Consider the following 22576-nt stretch of genomic DNA (forward strand, 5'->3'; position numbering starts at 1 on the left):
GGCCGCGCTGCAGGAGTGAATGGACTGAGGGGCCAGGGCTGCGGGGTGGCCGCAGGAAGGGTGGGCGGGGCCGGGGTTGAGGTTTTTCCGTGCACGAGGCTGCCCGGGCGGTCGCGGACATCATCTTTAGGCTGTGGATGCCTTGGCCGGGGTCTCCAGACGCTGACCCTCCAGGGTTGGAAACTACTGCCTGCTTGCCACGTCGTGCCGCCAATTGTGCTGCCCGAAGTAGCAGCCTGAGAGCCCTTGAAAGTTGCAGTTATCTTGTGAACAGCATATTTACGGTCTCTTGGGCTTGGTGGTGGTTGGGGGAGGGCTGTTAATGCTTTAATTTGTTCAATGAAACATTTAAAATGCCCCACAATTTTTATAACCCTGTTTGCCTCTTTTTGTTTTTATTTTTATTGTATTTTGGAAAAATTCACTGGGATCCTTGAGTGATGATCCTAGCGTCTCCTGACCCTTAGGTGTTTCACCTGAAAAGCCTGGGTCTTCAAGCTGAGGCATTTCTGTTCTAGCCTGGAGGCGCCTAGGAGCCCTGGGAGACTTTTTAAGCAGAGAGATTTGGCATTTAGATCTCTGGGTTTTAGAGGAGTGGGAACGCACCTAAAAGTGGGGTTGCCAGTTACAAAGCTGTTGCAGTCCTGAAGAGACCCAGAGTTTAGGTCCAAAATTTTATTTATTCAACAAACACTTTATAAAGCACTTACTGTGTGCCAGGCACTGTTCTTAGCGTTTTGCAAACCTTAACTCATTTAATTCTCCTAACAACCCTATGAGGTTGGAACAATTAACCTAATTTACAGTGAAGAAACTGAGCCCGGGGGAGGTTATTTTGTCACACAGCTTGTAAGTGGAGGGCTGAGATTTGACCCTGGCCTGTGCTCTGAACTCTCAGGCTCTGCCATATTTCTCATTACACTGGTATTTGGGCACTTCAAAGGGAAAGGAAACATAACTGTCCCAAGCACTGAGCTAGATTCTGAGCACGTAGGAGTCAGGAGAGGGTGATACAGAATAGACTAGGTGAAATATGGCTAGATTTCTGGTAGAAAAGGATTAATTCATTCCATCCAAATTCTTCATTTTATAGATAAGAAAATTGAGGTTCGAAATGGGGAAGGGGCTTACCAAGTTCCCATAGGGAAGTTTAGATGTCCTGACTTCCAGGTAAGATGCCAGGCTATTGGACCCTGCTCAGGAATGATGGTCCACACAGCTGCACCTCTGTACAGCCAATATTCCTTTTTTAAAAACCTTGCCCAACAACTTGGCAGTGTCTAATGCGAGCTACAAAACATTTTCTATTCTTTGATCAAGCAGTTTCACTCTTGGTAAAGTAGGGGAGACTGTGCAAAGATGCAGAAATAGCCAATTTAATAGCAAAAACTGGAAATAAACCCGAGTCCTGACAATAAGAAAATCGCCAAGCTTATTGGGATCTGTTAACACAATGAAGAATTAAAGAATGATTTTAAATGGCTAGAATGTGAACTATATTGATAGATATAGAATCCTTCCCCGTGAAATAAGCAGAACCCAAAGTAGTATGGGTTCGCTGATTACAACTATATAAGAAATTCATGGGTATTAAATAACAGAAGAGAGGTCCTTTACATAAACCATTTTTCCTATGTGACTGTGCAGTGGGATAAAAGCTCTCATACTGCTGGTAGAAGTGTAAGTTGATTAAACTGGAAAAAATAGTTTGACAACTTATATAGAAATTTAAGATTTTTTTTTTTTTTGAGATGGAGTCTCGCTCTGTCGCCCAGGCTGGAGTGCAGTGGCCTGATCTCAGCTTGCTGCAAGCTCCACCTCCCAGGTTCATGGCATTCTCCTGCCTTAGCCTCCCAAGTAGCTGGGACTACAGGTGCCCGCCACCACGCCCAGCTAATTTTGTTTTTGTATTTTTAGTAGAGTTGGGGTTTCACCATGTTAGCCAGGATGGCTTTGATCTCCTGACCTCGTGATCTGCCCGCCTCGGCCTCCCAAAGTGCTGGGATTACAGGCGTGAGCCACCGCACCCGGCCAGAATTTAGGAATGTTTTGAATACTGAAGAGATGAAAAAAAATAGAAAAATAAAAATGTTCCCAATAATTCCATGTTTAGGAATATAGCCTAAGGAAATGTTCTTAGAAAAATATTTATAGGTCAGGCGGGGTGCCTCACGCCTATAATCCTAGCACTTTGGGAGGTCGAGGCAGGCGGATTGCCTGAGCTCAGGAGTTCAAGACCAGCCTGAACAAAAGAAATCGGCTGGGCGTGGCGGCGTGCGCCTGTAGTCCCAGCTACTCGGGAGGCTGAGGCAGGAGAATTGCTTGAATCCGGGAGGCAGAGGTTGCAGTGAGCCGAGATTGTGCCACTGCACTCCAGCCTGGGCAACAAAGCAAGATTCTATATCCACACACAAAAAAAGAAAACTATTTATAAACAAAAAATATTCATTAAAGCAGTATCTATGATAGCGGGAAATGGAAACACTCTAAATGCCCATCAGTGAAATATTTTGCAGACATTGAAAATAATGTCATCTTTCCTTTAATACAGAATCAAGGAAAAATGTTTTATGTAAATCTTTTATTTTATTATACTTTAAGTTTTAAGGTACATATGCACAACATGGAGGTTTGTTACATATGTATACATGTGCCATGTTGGTGTGCTGCACCCATTAACTCGTCATTTAGCATTAGGTATATCTCCTAATGCTATCCCTCCCCCCTCCCCCGAATCAAGGAAAATTAAATAATATGATGTAAGTTTGGCTACAGAGATAACTGTTCTATAAAAAGACTAGGTTGGGCGCGGTGGCTCACACCTGTAATCCCAGCACTTTGGGAGGCAGAGGCAGGTGGACCACCTGAGGCCAGGAGCTCGAGACCCACCTGGCCAACATGGTGAAACTCTGTCTCTACTAAAATACAAAAATTAGTGCCTGTAATCCCAGCTACTTGGGAGGCTGAGTCAGGAGAATCACCTGGGCAACATGGTGAGACTGCACCTCAGAAAAAACCAAAAAACCCATACCACTTGTAAGATAATTCCTTGATCAACCCCACCTACCTAGAACCATTCATTAAGTGTTTTATTTAACATTTGTGGGGTGTCTCCTCTTTGTATTCCCAGCACCTACTTTGGTAAGGTGCTGGGAATACAAAGTTCAGTACTATATGGGTCATGCCTAGTCATGTCTACTGGAGGAGAGAGACAAGTGAGTCACGGATTATAGGTCAGTAGGATAGATGCAAATTAAATTCATCTTACTCAGGATTTAAACAGCTTATATGACATGACTTTGCATTCATGTTTCTTTGCTTTTCATGTGTTCTTAGGTCAGTGTCATGTATTTTGCTACCTCCCTAACGAGCTTATAATCCAGGATAGGGCTGTGGATTCTGTTTATACTACCAATACATATTCAGAGCACCTTGGTTTGGAGTTCTAGGTGGAATCCCACATAAATTTGCTGAATTGGCCGGGCGTGGCAGCTCATGCCTGTAATCCCTGCACTTTGGGAGGGTGAGGAGGGCGGATCACCTGAGGTCAGGAGCTCCAGACCCACTTGGCCAACACGGTGAAACCCTGTCTCTACTAAAATACAAAAATTAGCCGGGTGTGGTGGGGGGTGCCTGTAATCCCAGCTACTTTGTGGGGGTGAGGCAGGAGAATCGCTTGAACCCAGGAGGCAAAGGTTGCAGTGAGCCGAGATTGCACCACTGCACTCCAGCCTGGGTGACAGAGCCAGACTCTGTCTCTAAATAAATAAATAAATAAAAAATTTGCTGAATCAACTGATGATTTCAACCTGAAAAAATACAGGTGAGTAAGCCTATAGGCCACTAGGCAAATGTCGTGTTGCCCTCTCATCTCCTTACCCACCTACACAGGTGGTCACACAGACTGCAATAAACCCATATCCAGGTCAACTAAAGGAAACCTTTGCCTTGCAGGCCCTGTTGATCCTAAGGGAACTTGCCTCATCCTGGATATGAATCACATACTTAATTTTAGGTTGCCACTTGTGAATACTAACTGTTCTGGCCAAATTAATCCTCAAGGAACAGAACGAAATGAGCTTAAGACCCTAATGCCAGGCCAGGCACAGTGACTCGTGCCTATAATCCCAGTGCTTTGGGAGGCTGAGGTGGGAGGATTACTTGAGCTCAGGAGTTGGAGACCAGCCTAGACAACATAGTGAGACCCCTTCCTAACTGTCCCACCATTTTCTCTCTAAAGAAAAGAAAAAAAAAGACCTTAATGCCGATTGTAATGAAGCCATAATTGAATAACCTAACTGCCAGTGGCTGTTGGAATAACCTGAATTGTGAGTTCAAATTTTGATCCATTTTAACAAAAGATCCTAAACATAATAGTTGGCCAATAGCCTGGATCCTTTACAAAGTCAACACATATAGGAGAAGCAATACCGGTTGTGCTCAGCCTCTGCTGCAGCCTCCCCTCAGTAGCAGCCCTTCAGGCCATTAAAGACCAAAACCATTTTTGAAAAATCTGGATTTCTGTGAAATTGGATAACTTATGGGGGTGCAGTGACTACAACACAGTAGGCACTAATAAAGTTGACAGAATCAGTCTTTGTTTTAAGAAAAGTCATCTGTAATAATTCTGCAGATTAATGTTAAGTAATATTAAAAATAATTTATGACATATAGTGCTTAAACTAAAGGGAGAATCCCAATCATACCTCTATTAGAGGCAGAGCGAGAGCTAGAAACAGGACTCTCATTTTGCTGCATTCTAAGAGTGTGGGAGATTGGGATGGGGCAGAGGCAGGCTCATGGAGGAATTCACGGGATTTCCTTAATGCAGTCTTTTTTTTTTTTTTGAGACAGAGTCTCGCTCTGTCACCCAGGCTGGAGTGCAGTGGTGCTGTCTTGGCTCACTGCAACCTCCGCCTCCAGGGCTCACGCCATTCTCCTGCCTCAGCCTCCTGAGTAGCTGGGACTACAGGCGTCTGCCACCACGCCTGGCTAATTTTTTGTATTTTCAGTAGAGACAAAGTTTCACCATGTTAGCCAGGATGGTCTCCATCTCCTGACTTGGTGATCCACCCGCCTCAGACTCCCAAAGTGCTGGGATTACAGGCGTGAGCCACCGCGCCCGGCCCAGTCTTCTTATCATTGTATAGAATATAGATGCCTTAGGGACAGATATATTAAACCCACTGTTTTATAGACAAGGTGACAGATCCAAAGAGCTGAAGCCACACATGAAATTTAGTATATTTGGGGCTAGAATTTACCCCAGAACTTATTTATAACTTTTAGTTCCTCTCTACATGAGTTCCTTAGCAGTGAGTTCAATAAATGTTTTGGTATAAGGCCACCCTGGTTCAAAGAGGAGAAGGCTGTTGTCCTTGCTTCTCTGCGGTGCCTTCTTCCTCCCAGGCCCTCAGACCTGCCTCTATTAAGTGGGAGAAGGGAGGCCTGGGTAGGTAGGTCCCAGATCTTCAGATTGCCCGGGGAATGGGTCTGGAGTCCTCTAGGCGTTGTTGTAAGCATTTTGCTGGGCCTTTAATGTAACTTTCCAGTACAAATGATCTCTCTTTAAAATAAAACAAAAAAGCTAAGCTTAAAATTTTATAATGAGAATATTTACTTCACTATAGTAAGTCATCATATATCTATAAACACACATATATATACTCCCAATATACTTAACTTTTTCCCTATTGTTGGACATTTGTGTAGAAGTTTCGCTTGTATAAATGTTGCGATGGATATTTTTGTATATAGATATTGGTTTCTATTTCTGAACATTTTCTTAGGATAAATTCTACATGTGTAATTAGTGGATCAGGTAATAACATTTTTAGTCTCTTGTCATTTGTTGCCAAATTACCAATTTACTGCTGAATTATTTCACAGGTATTCCTCGAGCACTTAGTATGCATTCCTTAGTTTTACTGCACTTCTTATCACCAGAACAGGAAAGGAATGGTGTCCTACAGCTCCTTGACCAAGTACCTCTCCACCAATACTATGAGCACTAAAGATGCAGCAACGAAGCACTAGACTCTGGGATGTGAAGATCTCAAATTCTATTCTCTGTGCACTTCAGAGTTGGAGAAGGATCCATCAAGTTTCAGTAGAATGTACCAAGGAAGGGAGGCAATGTGGTAGAATGGAAAGAATAAGGATTGTAGTTGAGACACCTGCAACCTGGACCTGCTAGTCCACCTACTGCTGTGTAATCTTGGACATTATGTCCACCTCTATGGGTTTCGGATCCCTTATCTGTAAAGTGAAGAGATTGTCCAGATGCTTTCCAGCACTAGCAATCTGTGCTTTAAAGTTTTACCTAACATACCATACCTTTTATCAATGTCCACCTAGAGATAATAACCCAGCTTATTTTATTTGAGTTTTGAGACAGGGTCTTGCTCTGTCTTGCACTCCAGCTGGAGTGCAGTGGCACGATCATGGATCACTGAAGTCTCCACCTCTGCGGTTCAAGCATTCCTCCCACCTCAGCCTCCCGAGTAGCTGGGACTATAGGCATGCACCACCACATCCAACTAATTTTTTATATTTTTGTACAGACAGGGTCTCACTGTGTTGCCCAGGCTGGTCTCAAACTCCTGGGCTCAAGTGATCCTCCCACCTTGGCCTCCCAAAGTGTTGGGATTACAGGTGTGAGCCACCACGCCTGGCCTAACCCAGTTTCTTAGATAGGGTCCCCAGCCTGTCATTTAAGGCATCTAAATTTGATGCACTTACTAAGTTGATGCCATTTTTGTTGTTGAAAATTATTCATTTTTTAAAAATAGTTATGACTTTCACCACATATTAATAAATCATTATCTAGTGAGCTTGGTTAAAGTTTGACCTCACCAATATTGCTAGTTAAGAAAATACATGTATGGCACTTTCACATACCTTGTGTCCTTTGAGCCTCGTTATTAAAATAGATGAGATAGGTTAGAAATCACTATCTCCGCTGGGTGCGGTGGCTTATGCCTGTAATCCCAGCACTTTGGGAGGCCGAGGTGGGCAGATCACCTGAGGTCGGGAGTTCGAGACCAACCTCACCAACATGGAGAAACCCTGTCTCTACTAAAAATACAAAATTAGCTGGGTGTGGTGGCACATGCCATGTAATCCCAGCTACTCGGGAGGCTGAGGCAGGAGAATCGCTTGAACCCGGGAGGCAGAGGTTGCAGTGAGCCAAGATTGCACCACTGCACTCCAGCCTGGGGGATAGAGTGAGACTCCATCTTGGGGGAAAAAAAAAGAGAGAGAGAGAGAGAGAGAGAGAGAGAGAGAGAGAGAGGGAGGGAGGGAGGGAGGGAGGGAGGGAGAGAGAGAGAGAGAGAGAGAGAGAGAGAGAAAGAAAGAAAGGAAAGAAAGAAAGAAAGAAAGAAAGAAAAATCACTGTCTCCTTTTTATCATGAGGAAACTGAAGGTCAGAGACAGAGGTCTAACATCACATGGTAGGTATGGGAAAGGAATACTGTAGCGGTCTGTAATTGCTTTTGGTTTGTGACTTCCCACAAAAAGGAACAGACCCTGTTCCCCAAAGCCCAGGTCTGCTGCTTGGCTTATGACCTACACCTAATAGAGTAACTCAGCCGTCTGATAACAGTGGCCCAATGGTTAGCATCTGATGCAGAGCCCATTAAACTGGAATTAATCCTTGGGAGCAGGGAATGGGGGAGAATTATTTCTGCTAGCGTAGCTTAGCAAATACAGCCATATTTTTTTGTCACATGGAGGAGACCCTTCTGCAGTAAGAGAGAATCAGGTGTTGGCCGGGTGCAGTGGCTCACGCCTGTAATCCCAGCACTTTGGGAGGCTGAGGTGGGCAGATCACGAGGTCAGAAGATCGAGACCATCATGGCCAACATGGTGAAACCCCATCTCTACTAAAAATACAAAAATTATCTGGGCATGGTGCCACCCACCACGGCCTCCTAAAGTGCTGGGATTATAGGCATAAGCCACTGCTCCCAGCCTAGGTGTTTCAAACATAACGTTAAAATAGAATTTTTAATTTTTCACCCCTGTACTAACTCTGTTCCCTCATCTTGGTAAATGGTCCCATTATCTATTCATTTGCTCAACTCAAATGCTAGAATCAGACTTATTTCTCTTATTCCTTCATCTCTACCATCACCCCTGCCCCTGTACCTCCAACTAATGCGGTCTTGATTCTACCTCCAAAGGATATTCTAGGCTGGGCAGGGTGGCTCACGCCTGTAATCCCAGCACTCTGGGAGGCTGAGGTGGGCAGATCACCTGAGGTCAGGAGTTTGAGACCAGCCTGGCCAACATGGTGAAACCCTGTCTCTACTAAAAATATAAAAATTAGCCGGGCATGGTGGCGGGTGCTTGTAATCCCAGCTACTCAGGAGGCTGAGGCAGTAGAACCATTTGAACCCATGAGGTGGAGGTTGCAGTGAGCTGAGATCGCACCACTGCACTCCAGCCTGGGCGACAGAGTGAGACCCTGTCTCAAAAAAAAAAAAAAAAGAAAGAAAAAGCCCTTTGGGAGGCCGAGGCAGGTGGATCACGAGGTCAGGAGATCGAGACCATCCTGGCTAACACGGTGAAACCCCGTCTCTACTAAAAATACAAAAAAATTAGCCGGGTGTGGTGGCAGGCGCCTGTAGTCCCAGCTACTCGGGAGGCTGAGGCAGGAGAATGGCGTGAACCTGGGAGGTGGAGCTTGCAGTGAGTAGAGATCGCACCACTGCACTCTAGCCTGGGCAACAGAGTGAGACTGCATCTCAAAAAAAAATTAGAGGGCAGGGAGGCACATGGCAGTGTCCAGTGTGGGGTCAGCCCCCTAAAGTTCTCTCTTAATTCAGGCCTCCCCTCCCCTCTCCTCGAGCACTGCCCTCATCTTTGAACTCATCACTGTTCCCCAGTTTCTCCCGTACATCCCAGTCCAGCCCCAGCCTCTGGAGTTATCTTTCTACACCATGGATCTGATCACAGTACACCTGCTTTACGGATGTCCAAGCCTCCTCCATGGTAAAGTCCTCCCTTCCTACCCCTTACTGAGGCTGCTGGGGCTTTTCTCAATTTGAGCCCCATCTACCGCCGGCCTCATTGGAGCCATTCTTTGAACTTCATTCATTCATTTGTGTCTTCAACACATGTTTTTATGTTTTTTCAGGACCTACCCTGGCTGGTACTGTGCTGGGAGCCGCTGGGGACCCCAGGCCCTGGCCGGTCCACGCTTCTCAGCCACCCTACACAGGCCACCCATACGTGCTCCCTTTTAGGGCCTGAACCTTCAAAGCCTCTGTGAGATACTCCCTGGTTCTGCCTTTCAGCTATCACTCCCTGCTCCGAGCTCCACACCCTTTACAAATGTTCATTAAAGTTATCTATATGGTATGTTAATCCATTTCTGAGAAAATAATTTTCTTGGTTCCATTTCCGTCAACGTTTGACAGTCCTCAAGGCCACCATACTCTCTGGAGGTCTTGCTTCATCCTCTTATTTTGTACAGAAGGCTTTTGTTTGGGATGTCTGCTCACACTCAAAGACAGAGAGGCCTTACTGTCTTTATGTCTGCAGTCTGTGGAGTGAATGAAGGATGCTCAGGGCTGACACCAGCATGAAATGTGATGGGAGAGGTTGGGGACTGTGTGAATGTGAGGAAAGGGAGCCCATCTGCCCCCCCAAGTACAACCCCACCAGTTGGGCAGAGTGATCCCCCCACCACCCCTGCATTGCTGTGAAATTTAGATTGGGCAGGGCCCGTTTGACCATCTCTCTCAATCTCAGGCTCTCCATTTTCAAGTGAGATGTAATAATATGCGTCCTGTTTACCTCTCAGCCTGTGATGAGAATCTAATGATTAGGGTGTGCTAGCACACAGGCACCTGTAAATCCCATTGAAATCTGAGGGCCCTATAACTCCTCTAGTGATTCCCAAGCCTCGTGCACCCCACCCTCTCTGTTCATCCTTACTTCCCACGTGTCCCGTTAGCCCTCCGGATGCAGTCAGGCCCATTTCCCCCAGGACGCCCGGCACTAAGCCGCCCCATCCAGCTGGGGTCTGAGGGGCCTGTCTCTTGCCCCACGCCTAAAAGACCTAACCCTCCTCCTATCCCTTCGATACGGCAGTCTTTATTTGCTGGAGTCTGCACAACATCACTGCCCAATGATGTGTCTGCTTCCACGATTCCCAAAGAGACTGAGCTTACTGAGACCAGGGCAAGGACCGCGCCAGTTCCTCATCGCCCCCTTCCTCTGCCTTCCCCTCCCTTCCCCCTCACCGCAGCCATGGCGCCCAGACCAAGAAAGCAGAGCAGAGGTTCCGCAATTCTTTTCTAAGATTGTCTGACTAGAGGGTTCAAAGCCCTCTAATCCAAGGCCGGCTTGTGTCTCTAGGGAGGTTGCAGAAAGGCGCCAGAATGTGGATGGCGCGGACAATGTGGGATACTGGAGTCTCGACTGCCGCGCGCCAAGGAAGGGCGTCACCTAGCCAAGCCGGCCCTGGAGTTGAGTGCCCCGCAGCCCGCCGGTCCACCCGCCCGGCCGCTTGCTGGCACCCTGGTGGCCGCGCCGGCTTTGTGTCGGCATCAGGTGCAAACCCCCAGAGCGCCGGGCGTGCGCGCACGCGCCCCGGAGCGCGCGGAGCCCATTCGTTGCCCCCACCGGGATCTCCTCTAGGATCTCCTCCGGCGCCCGGGGCCGGAGAGTGGGGGAGGGAGGAGGTCGGACACGTAGCCTGCCTCGCAGCAGGGCTCGACTCCACGCGGGAGGGCGGGGGAGCCGGGGACCCGCCGCTCCAGCCCGCTGGCCTTCGAAAGATCCTCCTGGGCCAATGGCAGGCGGGGCGACGCGACCGGATTGGTGCAGGCGCTCTGCTGATCGCTGTGGAAACTCGGGCGGCGGGGAACGCGGGAGGATGTGGAACCCGAGGCGGGGGGAGCCGGAGGGGCGGGCAGAGGAGGTGTCGAGGCCCTGAGCTCCCGGGGAGTTTTTACTGGAGGCAAAAGTCCATAGCGGGAGGGCTGAGGGAGGGGCGGAGGAAGGGGACCGCTTGGGGGCACTGGGAAGCCAGGGATCCTCCGCCAGGAAGGCAGGGACACTCCCGAGCGCAGGCGAGAAGGCTGGGGGAGGGGGCGCGGTGGGAGGAGTAGGAGAAGACAAAAGCCGAAAGCGAAGAGGGCCCGGGCTGCACACACCGGCTGGGAGGCAGCCGTCTGTGCAGCGAGCAGCCGGCGCGGGGAGGCCGCAGTGCACGGGGCGTCACAGTCGGCAGGCAGCATGGGGAAGGGAGGGAACCAGGGCGAGGGGGCCGCCGAGCGCGAGGTGTCGGTGCCCACCTTCAGCTGGGAGGAGATTCAGAAGCATAACCTGCGCACCGACAGGTGGCTGGTCATTGACCGCAAGGTTTACAACATCACCAAATGGTCCATCCAGCACCCGGGGGGCCAGCGGGTCATCGGGCACTACGCTGGAGAAGATGCAACGGTAAGGGTCTGGGGGCGCCCCAGCCACCCTTCTCTGCTGCAGGCGGAGTCAGGATCCCTGGCTCCCCGTGGGCCAAACAGACCTCCGGCGCTGAATGGAGCTTGGGACGTCCTGTAGGGAAGGAAAGTGCATCTATTGCACTCGTACCCCCTCCCCAATCCTCCTCCTCCTCTGGGCCGACTGGGGTGGAGACCGGATCTGGGACCCGGGGAGGCGGCGCTGCGGTGAAAGTCCCAGCGGTGGAGAACAGGGCAAGCATCTACCGCGCGCGCCGGGACCCACGCGTCCTCCCCTTCCTCGGGGTTTGTCTGGAGGCAGGGACTCCCCAAGAGGGGCGCTCGGGCCAGACGGCTTTGGCGCCCCCAGCGGGGAAGATGGCCGCCCCTGCGCGCCGCTGAAAGGAGCGGGAGCGCAGGCAGCCAGGTGTGGGACTCCGCGCTTGTCCCGCACTCTCCATCCAGACTGGGTGGCGAGAAGGAAAGCTCGTCCCCGGCCGGAGATCGCTCCTGCTGGGACTCTTGTCTAAGAAGTTCCTCAATGGCCACCTGGGAAAAACCGCCCAGCAGCTCGGGTTCCCACGCTCCAGGGATTATCTAGACTCACCCCAAGCTCGAGCCGGCCTTCTTGGGGACCGGCGTCCGGGATTGGTGGAAGGAGAACGGCCTGGGGTTTGCAAAGCCCAGGTCGAGTGAGGCCTTGAGCCGGTGGATTTAGCAGCACTAGACTGGCTTGGCAACAGGTCCGTCTGCACTCGAGGTTACTCTCGGGCGTTCAACTCAATGGCTCTCTCTTTTTAAATCCTGCCAAGAACACCCTTCCCTCATCTTGCACTCCTAAAGGTTGTGGGCCTCTCTGGAGCCATTGCTGCCCACCTTACCCCCACCAAATGCGTGGCTCAGTGATTACCCCGCACCAGCTACCCGCACCGGGGACCCCAGTCTGAAATCCTGGCATTTATTTAAGGATGCAGCTGGTATCCCATGGATTCGAATGGGCCAGAAGGAAAAGAACAGAGGCAAGGAGGGAAGAAAGGGCGGCTTTTGGTGGTGGTAGTGAATTGGATGCAGAGAAAAAAGGTCTGATGGGATACAGAAATTGGGGAAAGTGAATAGGAGAGAGGCAGAAAGGAGGGATGAACTTGACGTAGATCATTCCACCTGGAGGTCTAGGATGCCCAACTGTTGGTGGGCTTTTGCTCTCTAAGCTGTGTAGGCCCGACCCTTAACTTCCCCACCTCTTGCATCTCATGGAGACAGGCCTAGGGGAAGGCCAGACCAGGCCACCATAACCCAAGCTGGACAATGGACAGGTGGTGTGGGCCAGCAGGGCCAGGGCTTATCTAAGATTGGGAAGGTCAGCGATACTGAAATTCCCTACAGCTTTCAGTCCCATCCTGTTTTACTTGCTTGTGGACATTGCTTAAGCCCAGTGGGTTTGTGATGCTATTTAGAACTTAGGTGGGTATGTTTCACATACCTTCAGTGCTATCTCACCTGGACCTTTACGCGGCCCAGTGAGGAGGTTGGGTTAATGTAACTCCTAAGTAAAGGACCTTCTGGATCCTGGCTGGGATCTTTCCACTATATGTTGCTGGACTTGGGCTGGTCTGTTTCTGATTTCATAGGTAAATTGTAGAAGGTTCCTGTCCTGTCCAGGCCCTCACCAAAAAGTTTCCAGAAGGAAAAGTCAAATACGATGAATTTGGTCTGATTATTCCACATTGTTAAACATATTTTCTTATGTGAACGCTTAGTCTGGCAATTGCCTTGACCTTTCTGGTTTAATTACCATATCAGATTGATTTATTTCTTCCTTGTTCTGGATGTTCTCAGTGCTTACCTGACCTTAACACTGAGTTCCCTCCAAAAATCAGTGCTCACATCTCTCCTAACAGAGGACTAGAATGACCTACTCTTCCCTGACCTTTTCTCTGTCTCATAAAAATGTAATAGTCTCGTCATTTCTGGTCCTGCTCCAGCGCTTTCTGTATAACTTTCATGGACTATAAATCTGGTATCTTGGATGTTGGTTGCTTTGTTACTTTCATAAGCTAGGGTGGGAGCCAACCGGGGCTGCAAACAGATCTAGAATTGAAGAAAGATGTCATTACTGGGCTCATCCACTAAGTGTTGTCACTTGACTGAGCCCCATCTCCTCATCTATAAGGTACACCTGTACCTGTTTCAATGAGACTGATTTGTGGCAAAGCACCCAGCAACTGTAACCACTAGATGAATGCAATGGGGTGTTATCAGGCAAACGGGAATAAGAACAAGTATTATGAAACAGCTAGAATGGAAAGTATGCAAAGAGGAATTTGAAGAAAAAATTTAAATCTATGCTAGCTTTATTTGGTGTAGCAACACGTAAAAGCAATCCCTGTCCCCAGAGCTTCCTGTCTTCTAAAATAAGACTTTTGGGGCATGAAATACACGAACTGGGGATACAGATTTGAATGATGGTGATGATGGAGTGAGCAGCTGGGTTCTCTTTGTTTTGTTTTGTTTTTTTAAACTGTCCAGGACCAGGTTGGAAAAAGGCCTTGAGCAGCGTGGGGTGGGTGGGGCATGTGGAAAGGGGACCTAAAGAGAGAAGCAGGAACAGGCTACTGAAATCCAGAGACCCTTGCCTAGGCTGTTGAGCAAGTGGCTTTGCCCCTTGGGGTGATGGTTTGTCCCCCAGAGCATGGGGAGTGACAATTTATGGACCAGGCACAGTCTGGGGAGGGACTGATCAGAAGACAGTTTGGATTCCCTGCAACATTCCCAGGCAATGTTCTGAGCCCATCACAGTGCAGTCATTCCTAACACAAGGCTGGAAACAGGTCGGAAGTCAAGGTAGCCATTCTTGGGACAATCCTCGAAGTCAGGGAAGCCATTCTCGGGACAATCAGGGGCCTCAATAGGGCATTTTCTTTTTTTTGAAGAGCAAAAGATCCAGGTAGTCAAGATCCATCTCCCTAGAAGGATGGGGCAACTGTTACGTGGTCCTTCCACAGAAGCTAAACCCTGACCTTGCCTATAATAATGCAAGTTGCTTGATTTTTGCAACTTACAAAACACATTCATATGTATCACTTCATTTCATACTCGGATCAGCCCCGTAGGCATCTCTCACTGCTCTGAGGTATCAAACCTGGCTTAAGTGGCAGTGCTCAGACTTAAACTCAGAATCTGACCTCAAGTCCTCCCCTCCCAGCTTCCTTCCCTTCCTGTTGCTACCTCTGATCTCTTCCCTTTGGTACTGCGGTGCTTCTCTCGCCTTTTCCTTGCTGTGGGCAAAAGGAACCCTCACCCGCGCCCTAAGAGCGTGTCTGCTCTTTTCACAGCAGTCCCACCACTGCAGAACTGTTCATCTTCAGCGACAATTCATCAAACATTAATTGAGTGTCTCCATGGCTCTGAGCTGGGCCCAGACACAGAGATGAATTATTCACAGACAGAGACCTGAAGCTGTGGGATGTGCTCCCCCTGCTCTCTCTCAAGCTGGGGCTTGGATCTGGACCCTCTGCCTCTAGACATCAGCCCCCTACCCCTAGCCCTTGTCTCAGCAACTGTTCCTGCCCGGTCTGCATTGGTGACCTCTTAGAATCAAGGGAAGGTGAGAAGAGACCAGAGGTTTGTTCCACCTTTCAACCTGCTCCTATGTTATTCTTGTGAAAACGCAACAGATCGAAAGTGGAACTCTGGCCTCCTTTGCACGGGGCAGGAGGGTTGTAGTATTTAGAGGCAGGAGACCTGGGTTCCAGCCCCAGCTTTATGAATTCCCAGGCCTGGAGGGCAGCTCCATCTCCCCAGCTGAGATCTGGGTGGGAGCTGTCCAATTTCTGTGGCTGTAGCCTCAGCATCCCCAGGAAGCAGTTCTGAGATGAAAGTGGAGAATGGCATCAATTTCTTCATGCCCAGGTTGCCTTTGTAGGGGCCTGTCTCCTGTGCAGCCCTGCCTTTCTGCCCTCAGGGTAGTGCATGGACCCTGTGTTATGGGGGAGGCTCTCACTGCGGGGCTCTTTGGCCACAGAGCACTGCCCCACCAGCCTCCATTGCTTCTTTCCTTGGAGGGGACATGGCATAGGGGCTTCCTGCCCTGCCTGCCTCTCTCTGCTGCAGAAAGGAAGTCAGCATCCCTGTCTTGCTCTTCATTTCCACTGGAGAATGCGAGGATCCCTCCTGTGCATCTCCACACTCTTAGATCACTTGTTCCATAAAGTTCTGGTCCGCAGGGCTGCCACCTACTGCACTGTGTGCCCTGTGCTTGCCCGTGCTGCACTTCCCAAATCCTAGGCAAAGTGCCCAGTTGTGCAGCATTCGATCAGAGATTAGCCTTGCTCCCCAGAGGACATGGGCACGGCCATAAACAAATCCTGGCACCAGGTGCTCAGTGGATGGCGAGCAACTGTGAGTTGTACCCAGAGTGGGGCAGGGGCAGGGAAAATGTCCCTGTGGAGAAGTTGACTGGCATCAGACCTGGGTGATGGCAGAAGCAGGAACTGGCAAAGAGCGAAGTGTGACAAGCGCTTCAGAATCAGGGTGTTCTGACCTCCCCACCTCACACACCTGCCCTGCCGAGGCGGGTGCATCTCTGCTTTCTCCACCTGTTTACCAATCCTTTCTCTTCCCCATGTCCCGGGTCCTCTTCCTGGAAAGTCTCTGGCTTCTCTCCCGTTACACTAGGATAGAGCCTGGTTCCAATTCTTGGTCCAAAGACAAAGTTTGGGTTGGCCCTCCCTTGCCTTGAATCCTGGTCTGCCTTATACCTGCCAGATATTTCTGTAACCCGGCAGGTGCTGGAAACCTTCTGCCAGCGTTTGAGACACATTTATGGCAATGTGAAGGGAGAGACACAAAATATAATCAACTCTCAGGGAGGAGGACACTCATGTTGAGGGAAGCCTTTGTATGAACAGCGGGCAATGCTCAAGGTAGCCACATGTGACTCAAACTCTACTCAGCTCATTCCCGAGTGTGATAGTGGGCAGGTGGCTCTGCCAACCTACGCCTGATTTCTTATCTCTAAAAAAGGACCTGCCTCACGAAGTTTGGTAAAGATGCCTGGCTGATGTATGCAAGCCACTCCCATGGCCCCGTGGCTCGCCTGCGTCACCTCAGCAGGTGGCAGCTGTAGCAACCACCAGCGTGGGGATGCCGGAGAAGGCTTTTGGTGTTCCAGAGGCAGAAGCCAAGTTGTGTGAAACGCGGAAGAGGACAAGTGTCTGGTCATGACTGCACAGTGGGAAAGTATGAGATCAGAGTGTGTGCAGCTGTGGGGTCCTGGGTCCATTTATTCCCTCGTGAGCCATCTTATTAGGCCCCGTTACAGGCACTGTGTTTATTGCAGCGAACAAGACAGGTGCAGGCCTTCCCAACTGGGGTTTATGCTCCAGCGGGGGACGCAGGCCATAAACAAGTGGGTACGTCACGCAGTCTGATGACGAACCTTGATGACTGCTATGAAGATCTAACAGGGCAATGACCCAGGGAAGGCCCAGGGCTGGGAGAGCTCTTTTGGATGTGATGTTGGGAAAAGCCTCTTGGAGGTGATGTTGAGGCTGAGTCCCGAATGGAGGCAGCCCTGGTGTGGAAAGGAGCGTGGTATGTTCAAGGGCGGTCCGCACCAGGCCTGCTCGGAAAGCTGCCACACTGACCATGGGCAAGGAGCTGATCCAACAGACTGCTCGGTTTTCTAAAACGGCAGGAAGCGTGTGGCACGTGAGAAAAGAGTCCTTAGAGGCAGATGGACCTGGATTTGATCCTGGCTCTGCCACCTGGAGCCCAGGACTTTGCTTCCTGAGCTCCTGCATCTTCACCTCAGAAGTTGGGGCTTGAGGCCTAAGGGAGTAACATGAGCAACACTCCTGGCTCCCTGCCTGGCGCATGCCCATTACCCCTGGGCTCAGGGAGGTGAGGCTGCCCGAGAGCCCTCTGGAAATGGCTGAGCAGCAACCAAGGTCAAGGCAGGGCTCGTCATCTGTCTGCTCCCTTGGAGTTGGAACCTCGACTGCAGGGTTCGGGTGTTGGGGAGGCAGCAGGAGTGGAGATGAGTCTATTTGCAAGCCATTGAGTCTTGCCTTTCAATGAGACAAGAGGAATCCATTAGTTATCAGCCACTGCAGCTGCTTCTCAGGAAACTGCCTTACCAGGGACTTCCTGTTCATTTCTCAAAGGCCGTGGTGTGATGTGAGGAGGACCAATGAAGGGGCTTTTTCAGGCCCAGCCCTGGGCCCTGACTTTGGCAGCTCCTCCGGGCCTCTCCCAGGGCCTTGCTCATTTTGCATAGGCGGCTGAGGCTCTGGTGGGGACTGATCACCCCACCCAGAGCCAGCAAAGCTGGTCACCACTGCAACCCTGGGCTCCTCCCTGCCCGCACCCTGGGCCTCCTCCCTGCCTGCCCCCCCACCCCAGCCCTCCTCCCTGCCTGCCCCCAGGGCCTCCTCCCTGCCTCCCCAGGGACTTCTCCCTGCCTCCCCAGGGACTTCTCCCTGCCTCCCCAGGGCCCTGGAATAGCACGTCTCTTTTCCCTGAAAATACTCTTGACCTGATCCTCTGCTACCATCCCTTTTCGGCTCGGCTAGTGGGTCACAGGCATTTTTTAAGAAACCGTGGGCCCAGTTTTCTCCTGCACGAAGTGTTGCTTTGTCAGTCTGTTCTAGACACAAATAGAACAAAGACCAAGCAAAGGACTTGATGCCAGCAATGCAGTAAGGAGATGATGGGAGACTGGCAGTTACCCTTGGGAGATCCTTACGTGTGGGGCTGAAAAGATTTCCAGGAGTGGTTAGCACTTTCTCCACCTTCCCCCGACCCTTTTTTTTTTTTTTTGAGATGGAGTCTCGCTCTGTCGCCAGGCTGGAATGCAGTGGCACGATCTCAGCTCACTGCAACCTTCCACCTCCCTGGCTAAAGCAATTCCCTGCCTCAACCTCCCAAGTAGCTGGGATTACGGGCGTGTGCCACCACACCTGGCTAATTTTTTTTTTTTTTTTTGTATTTTTAGTAGAGACGGGGTTTCACCATGTTGGCCAGTCTGATCTCAAACTTCTGGCCTCAGGCAATCCGCCGCCTCGGCCTCCCAAAGTGCTGGGATTACCGCACCCGGCCCCCTCTTCTTTTTAATTTTGAAATTTTCCCAACATCCTTAAATGTTGAAGGAACAAGCAAACACCTGTGTATCCTCAACCAAGATTCACTAGTCTTAACATTTTGCCACATTTGCGTTTTTCCTCTTTATATGTGTGCAGTTGCCTTTTGAAAATAAGCTGCGTCATTGTGTGATCACATCCCTAAGGTCTTCAACATTTCCGGAGAAAAAAGGAAGAGATGCTCTAACATCATCACAGTACCTTTGTCACATTTAAGAAAATTAATAGTAATTCCTTGATATGATCAAATATCTGGTCCATATTCATTTTTTCTCATTCAACTCCCGAAAAACCTGGTATAACTTCTTTTTTCCTTCAAGTGAGAGCCTGTCACATTAAAGAATTGCAGGATGTTGTTTTGTTTGTTTGTTTGTTTGTTTTTTGAGTCAAAGTCTCACTCTGTCGCCCAGGCTGGAGTGCAGTGGTGCAATCTTGGCTCACTGCAACCTCCACCTCCTGGTTTCAAAGGATTCTCATGCCTCAGCCTCCTGAGCAGCTGGGATTACAGGCGTGCGCCGCTACACCTGGCTAATTTTTGTATTTTCAGTAGAGGTGGGATTTCACCATGTTGCCCAGGCCGATCTCAAACTCCTAACTTCAGGTGATCGCCCTGCCTCGGCTTCCCAAAGTGCTGGGATTACAGGCATGAGCCACTGTGCCCGGCCTGTTTGTTTTTTGAGACAGGGTCTCACTCTCTTGCCCAGGCTGGAGTGCAGTGGCACCATCATTGCTTATTGTATCTTCCTGCCTCAGCCTCCCGAGTAACTGGAGTTATTGGTGCAGGCCACCATGCCTGGCTAATTTTGTTTATTCTTAGTAGAGACAGGGGTCTTGCTATGTTACTCAGGCTGGTCTTGAACTCCTGGCCTCAAGTGATCCTCCTGCCTCTGCCTCCCAAAGTGCTGGGATTACAGGCATGAGCCCCTGCGACCAGTCAAGAGTTGCAGTTTTTATATCATTTTAGTCTCTTTTAATCTAGACCATGCTTCCGTACTTTTGTTTTTTCCACAAACTTGTATGTTTTTCCCCAGCTATATTGATTTTTCTGATTGTTTCTCATGGTGGAGTTTGACTGGTTTGCCAATCCTACCAATGTCTGGAAGCTTGATTTGATGCAGATTACACAGTGTTCACCACTGGGACATTCTATTGCATCCCCTCAGGGGAGCCTGGTGCTGGCTCATCTCTAATAGAAATACTAGATTTTTTATGAGATAATTCATGTAATATGCATAATATGTATAGAAAAAAGCTGGAAGGAAAAATGCTAAAATATTAGCAATAATGACCACTTTCTGGGTGATATTTATTTTCCTCTTTATTCTGCTGTGCCTTTTCTAACTTGGCCAAAACTCAGCACGTTTTTACTTTATAATTGGGAAAAAAAGATTAAAATGTGTATCATTATAGCAGTGTTAGAGTTTGGAAAGTAATGAAAATAAAGCAAGGCATAATCCAGCTACCTTAACATGTGCAATAATAGCCTAGATCCTCCTAGGCTTTTTTTCAGGAACGCTTTTTACATAATTCTGTGTTTATTTTTTTATTTACTTCATCACAGCACATTTCCAGTGCCAAGGTAGTATTCGGTCTTGTCCTTTTCATTGACCACCCTGGACATGTAGGTGAGGAACTAGTAAGAGATGGTGGGTGGTGTGGTTTGTGCACCATGCAAGGCACTCAGCTCACGAGCAGTCGAGGCTCAAGTCCTCCCTGAGCCCCGTGTCTGCCTGGTGCGCCTTCCTGGAGGGTCACCATTTCCCGACCTGCCCAAAGGCAGCCTATGCATCTATTCACAAACCCCTGGGGAGTGTAGCATGCCTGCACCAGCACAGAAGCCCAGGTGGCTGTTGCCATTGGCGTTGGGCACTGAGGGCTCTGTCCTGGAAAAATGCTGGAGACGGCATTTGGGGCCAGATCACAGGAGACCCCGTTTGGTGTCTGGGTGCACACATGGAGCTGTTGCTGGTGAGCACTGTCCTCCTTGGGGCCCAAGAGCAGACAGAGTTCAGGTCTTAGCCTCATCACTGCCCTCTGCTCTCCAGGATGCCTTCCGCGCCTTCCACCCTGACCTGGAATTCGTGGGCAAGTTCTTGAAACCCCTGCTGATTGGTGAACTGGCCCCGGAGGAGCCCAGCCAGGACCACGGCAAGAACGTAAGTCTGGCTTGCAACCTGGGTGGGGGTGGAGACGAGGCTGGGGGTGGCTGGGAGTCTGAGAGAGGCTCCCCTTGCCCCATGACCAGTAACTGGGGCTGAGGCAGGGGTGCTTTTGTCCTGGAGGAGCCACTGTGGTTCACCTGTGTTCAGGGAGGGCCTCAGAGCCTCCCTGGGAGCCGGGGTTTGACAACAACTAGTGGCGTCTCCTCTCTCCTGGCCAGTTTCATTTTCCTTCTCCTCCATCCCTTTCCAGGAAGGTGCCAGATGACAATCTAGGGGAAAGACAGGACAGAAACACCGAAAAATGTCATTTGATGACAAGAGTGGCTTTGGGGTGTGTGGTCCGGGGCACCTCTTTGAGAAAGAATGACCATTCCCTGGTCATCTGTTCATTGTCTGCAGGTCAGACGCCCCCCTGGGTGCTGGGCTTCCAGGACAGCCATGTGTGAAAATAGCAACCCCTGAGGTCTCATGGGCTGTTGTTTTGTTCAACAATGAAGTCTCCATGTAAATGGCGGAGCCGTTTATAGAAGAAAGTTGGGACAGGAGGCAGGGGCAGGGCAGGACGGGGAGGAGAGTTGTTACAAGGAGAGGAGTGGTACCCACAGGCTGTGACCAGGGTGGTCATGGAAGTCCCACCCTGGCCTCAGCAAGCTCTTCCTCCTCTTGTTGCCAGCCTGGGCCAGACCCCTCTGTTTAGCAGAGCCAGGGCAGGACCAGGGTCTCTCCCGGCCTGGACTCTTGGCCAGTCCCCCACCACCCCCATTGCCTCTGGCTTTCCTGATGAGCTGCGGGCCACCCTGCAGGTCCTTCAAAGGCCAATGCCCCTCCTCTCACCTTGCCCTCCATGGCACATGAGATCACCTGCCCTGTACCCATGCCAGCCCATGCTTGTCCCCTCCTGCCTCCTTCGCAAGTGGGTCCATCTCCCACTCTCACCTCCAGCACCTCCTGGCCTGCGGCTTCCCCAGCTCTGCTCGTCCTGCCCTGTAGCTCCCTTGTCCATGGCCTTGCTCCTTGGCTCTCTCCACTGCTCTCCCTTTCTGCTGCAGATCCTGCACCATTTAGCATCCAAGCTCCCACCAGGCACCACCAGAACCACCCTTCATAGCACCTTGGTCATGCCCTGTGGGTACCGCTCCTCTCCTTGTATCCACTCTCCTCCCCGTCCGGCCCTGCCCCTGCCTCTTGTCCCAAGTTCCTTCTTCCTCGCAATGCCATTGTGTTCCCAGGGCCCTCCTTGACTCCGCTTTGCCTCCCTGGCTCCATGTGCCCGGGACTCACAGCCCCCTCCTGCCTGCCTCAGCTCGCCCTCCTGCGCTAGTTTGTGTCGCCCCCAACTCAACCCCTCAAGACCCAACAGTGTGCGCAGAGCAAGTGGTGCTCTGTTTGGTGGTGGAAAATGCAAGTTTTATTTTTCTTTTCTTTTCTTTCTTTCTTTTTTTTTTTGAGATGGAGTTTTGCTCTTGTTACCCAGGCTGGAGTGCAGTGACACCATCTCGGCTCACTGCAACCTCCGCCTCCAGGTTCAAGCAGTTCTCCTGCCTCAGCCTCCCATGTAGCTGGGATTACAGGTGCCCATCATCATGCCTGGCTAATTTTTGTATTTTTAGTAGAGATGGAGTTTCACTATGTTGGCCAGGCTGGTCTCGAACTCCTGACCTCAGGTGATCTGCCTGCCTCGGCCACCCAAAGTGCTGGGATTAAAGTTTTCTTTTTTAAAAAAGTGTGGTCAACCATTTTGGTCATTTGACGTGTACAGTTCAGTGGCATCAAATAAGCACATTTACATTGTTATGTAACCATCACCACCATCCAGTTCTCA

The 22576-nt window shown here is 50.1% G+C and overlaps 1 protein-coding gene and 1 long non-coding RNA gene across 5 annotated transcripts in view, besides 16 other annotated features; both read left to right on the forward strand.

Annotated features, from left to right (window-relative positions):
- Window positions 1–22576, forward strand: part of FADS2 (fatty acid desaturase 2) — a 51152-nt gene that overhangs the window by 938 nt on the left and 27638 nt on the right. For 2 of the 4 annotated variants that reach the window (NM_001281501.1, NM_001281502.1), the window contains exon 2: window positions 20638–20748. In NM_001281501.1, the coding sequence (NP_001268430.1) occupies window positions 20638–20748 (111 nt within the window). Of the gene's footprint in view, window positions 1–8891; window positions 11458–20637; window positions 20749–22576 lie in introns of those variants that run through there. The other 2 variants (XM_047427889.1, NM_004265.4) reach the window with 2 other exon arrangements.
- Window positions 125–224: a silencer, noted in NCBI's record as "silent region_3401". NCBI's record gives its function as "represses an Ori minimal core promoter by ATAC-STARR-seq in GM12878 lymphoblastoid cells {active_cell/tissue: GM12878}" and the evidence as "EXISTENCE:reporter gene assay evidence [ECO:0000049][PMID:35858748]".
- Window positions 880–6832, forward strand: LOC124902680 (uncharacterized). The gene is made up of 2 exons (XR_007062696.1): window positions 880–4328; window positions 5890–6832. It is a non-coding gene; the product is annotated as an uncharacterized LOC124902680 (long non-coding RNA).
- Window positions 9499–10176: an enhancer, noted in NCBI's record as "H3K27ac-H3K4me1 hESC enhancer chr11:61594111-61594788 (GRCh37/hg19 assembly coordinates)". NCBI's record gives its function as "activates a minimal SCP1, AML or CMV promoter by ChIP-STARR-seq in primed H9 embryonic stem cells {active_cell/tissue: H9 hESC(primed)}" and the evidence as "EXISTENCE:reporter gene assay evidence [ECO:0000049][PMID:30033119]".
- Window positions 10177–10854: an enhancer, noted in NCBI's record as "H3K27ac-H3K4me1 hESC enhancer chr11:61594789-61595466 (GRCh37/hg19 assembly coordinates)". NCBI's record gives its function as "activates a minimal SCP1, AML or CMV promoter by ChIP-STARR-seq in naive H9 embryonic stem cells {active_cell/tissue: H9 hESC(naive)}" and the evidence as "EXISTENCE:reporter gene assay evidence [ECO:0000049][PMID:30033119]".
- Window positions 10177–10885: a biological region, named in NCBI's record as "H3K27ac-H3K4me1 hESC enhancer GRCh37_chr11:61594789-61595466".
- Window positions 10446–10885: a silencer, noted in NCBI's record as "silent region_3402". NCBI's record gives its function as "represses an Ori minimal core promoter by ATAC-STARR-seq in GM12878 lymphoblastoid cells {active_cell/tissue: GM12878}" and the evidence as "EXISTENCE:reporter gene assay evidence [ECO:0000049][PMID:35858748]".
- Window positions 11006–11105: a silencer, noted in NCBI's record as "silent region_3403". NCBI's record gives its function as "represses an Ori minimal core promoter by ATAC-STARR-seq in GM12878 lymphoblastoid cells {active_cell/tissue: GM12878}" and the evidence as "EXISTENCE:reporter gene assay evidence [ECO:0000049][PMID:35858748]".
- Window positions 11126–11225: a silencer, noted in NCBI's record as "silent region_3404". NCBI's record gives its function as "represses an Ori minimal core promoter by ATAC-STARR-seq in GM12878 lymphoblastoid cells {active_cell/tissue: GM12878}" and the evidence as "EXISTENCE:reporter gene assay evidence [ECO:0000049][PMID:35858748]".
- Window positions 16235–17102: an enhancer, noted in NCBI's record as "H3K27ac-H3K4me1 hESC enhancer chr11:61600847-61601714 (GRCh37/hg19 assembly coordinates)". NCBI's record gives its function as "activates a minimal SCP1, AML or CMV promoter by ChIP-STARR-seq in primed H9 embryonic stem cells {active_cell/tissue: H9 hESC(primed)}" and the evidence as "EXISTENCE:reporter gene assay evidence [ECO:0000049][PMID:30033119]".
- Window positions 17103–17970: an enhancer, noted in NCBI's record as "H3K27ac-H3K4me1 hESC enhancer chr11:61601715-61602582 (GRCh37/hg19 assembly coordinates)". NCBI's record gives its function as "activates a minimal SCP1, AML or CMV promoter by ChIP-STARR-seq in naive H9 embryonic stem cells {active_cell/tissue: H9 hESC(naive)}" and the evidence as "EXISTENCE:reporter gene assay evidence [ECO:0000049][PMID:30033119]".
- Window positions 17146–17195: an enhancer, noted in NCBI's record as "active region_4801". NCBI's record gives its function as "activates an Ori minimal core promoter by ATAC-STARR-seq in GM12878 lymphoblastoid cells {active_cell/tissue: GM12878}" and the evidence as "EXISTENCE:reporter gene assay evidence [ECO:0000049][PMID:35858748]".
- Window positions 17306–17665: an enhancer, noted in NCBI's record as "active region_4802". NCBI's record gives its function as "activates an Ori minimal core promoter by ATAC-STARR-seq in GM12878 lymphoblastoid cells {active_cell/tissue: GM12878}" and the evidence as "EXISTENCE:reporter gene assay evidence [ECO:0000049][PMID:35858748]".
- Window positions 17417–17711: an enhancer, noted in NCBI's record as "tiled region #6587; HepG2 Activating non-DNase unmatched - State 18:Pol2, and K562 Activating non-DNase unmatched - State 5:Enh". NCBI's record gives its function as "activates a minimal TATA promoter and a strong SV40 promoter by Sharpr-MPRA in HepG2 and K562 cells {active_cell/tissue: HepG2 | K562}" and the evidence as "EXISTENCE:reporter gene assay evidence [ECO:0000049][PMID:27701403]".
- Window positions 17454–17788: a transcriptional cis regulatory region, noted in NCBI's record as "TAD5.SE2.HS1 sgRNA1-sgRNA3 range targeted for Mosaic-seq CRISPR perturbation". NCBI's record gives its function as "positively regulates FADS1 gene expression in K562 erythroleukemia cells {active_cell/tissue: K562}" and the evidence as "EXISTENCE:mutant phenotype evidence [ECO:0000015][PMID:28416141]".
- Window positions 17846–17905: a silencer, noted in NCBI's record as "silent region_3405". NCBI's record gives its function as "represses an Ori minimal core promoter by ATAC-STARR-seq in GM12878 lymphoblastoid cells {active_cell/tissue: GM12878}" and the evidence as "EXISTENCE:reporter gene assay evidence [ECO:0000049][PMID:35858748]".
- Window positions 17971–18838: an enhancer, noted in NCBI's record as "H3K27ac-H3K4me1 hESC enhancer chr11:61602583-61603450 (GRCh37/hg19 assembly coordinates)". NCBI's record gives its function as "activates a minimal SCP1, AML or CMV promoter by ChIP-STARR-seq in primed H9 embryonic stem cells {active_cell/tissue: H9 hESC(primed)}" and the evidence as "EXISTENCE:reporter gene assay evidence [ECO:0000049][PMID:30033119]".
- Window positions 21593–22150: an enhancer, noted in NCBI's record as "H3K27ac-H3K4me1 hESC enhancer chr11:61606205-61606762 (GRCh37/hg19 assembly coordinates)". NCBI's record gives its function as "activates a minimal SCP1, AML or CMV promoter by ChIP-STARR-seq in primed H9 embryonic stem cells {active_cell/tissue: H9 hESC(primed)}" and the evidence as "EXISTENCE:reporter gene assay evidence [ECO:0000049][PMID:30033119]".

This window comes from Homo sapiens, chromosome 11 (assembly GCF_000001405.40).
Source record: "Homo sapiens chromosome 11, GRCh38.p14 Primary Assembly".
In the NCBI taxonomy this organism is placed as follows: domain Eukaryota; kingdom Metazoa; phylum Chordata; class Mammalia; order Primates; family Hominidae; genus Homo; species Homo sapiens.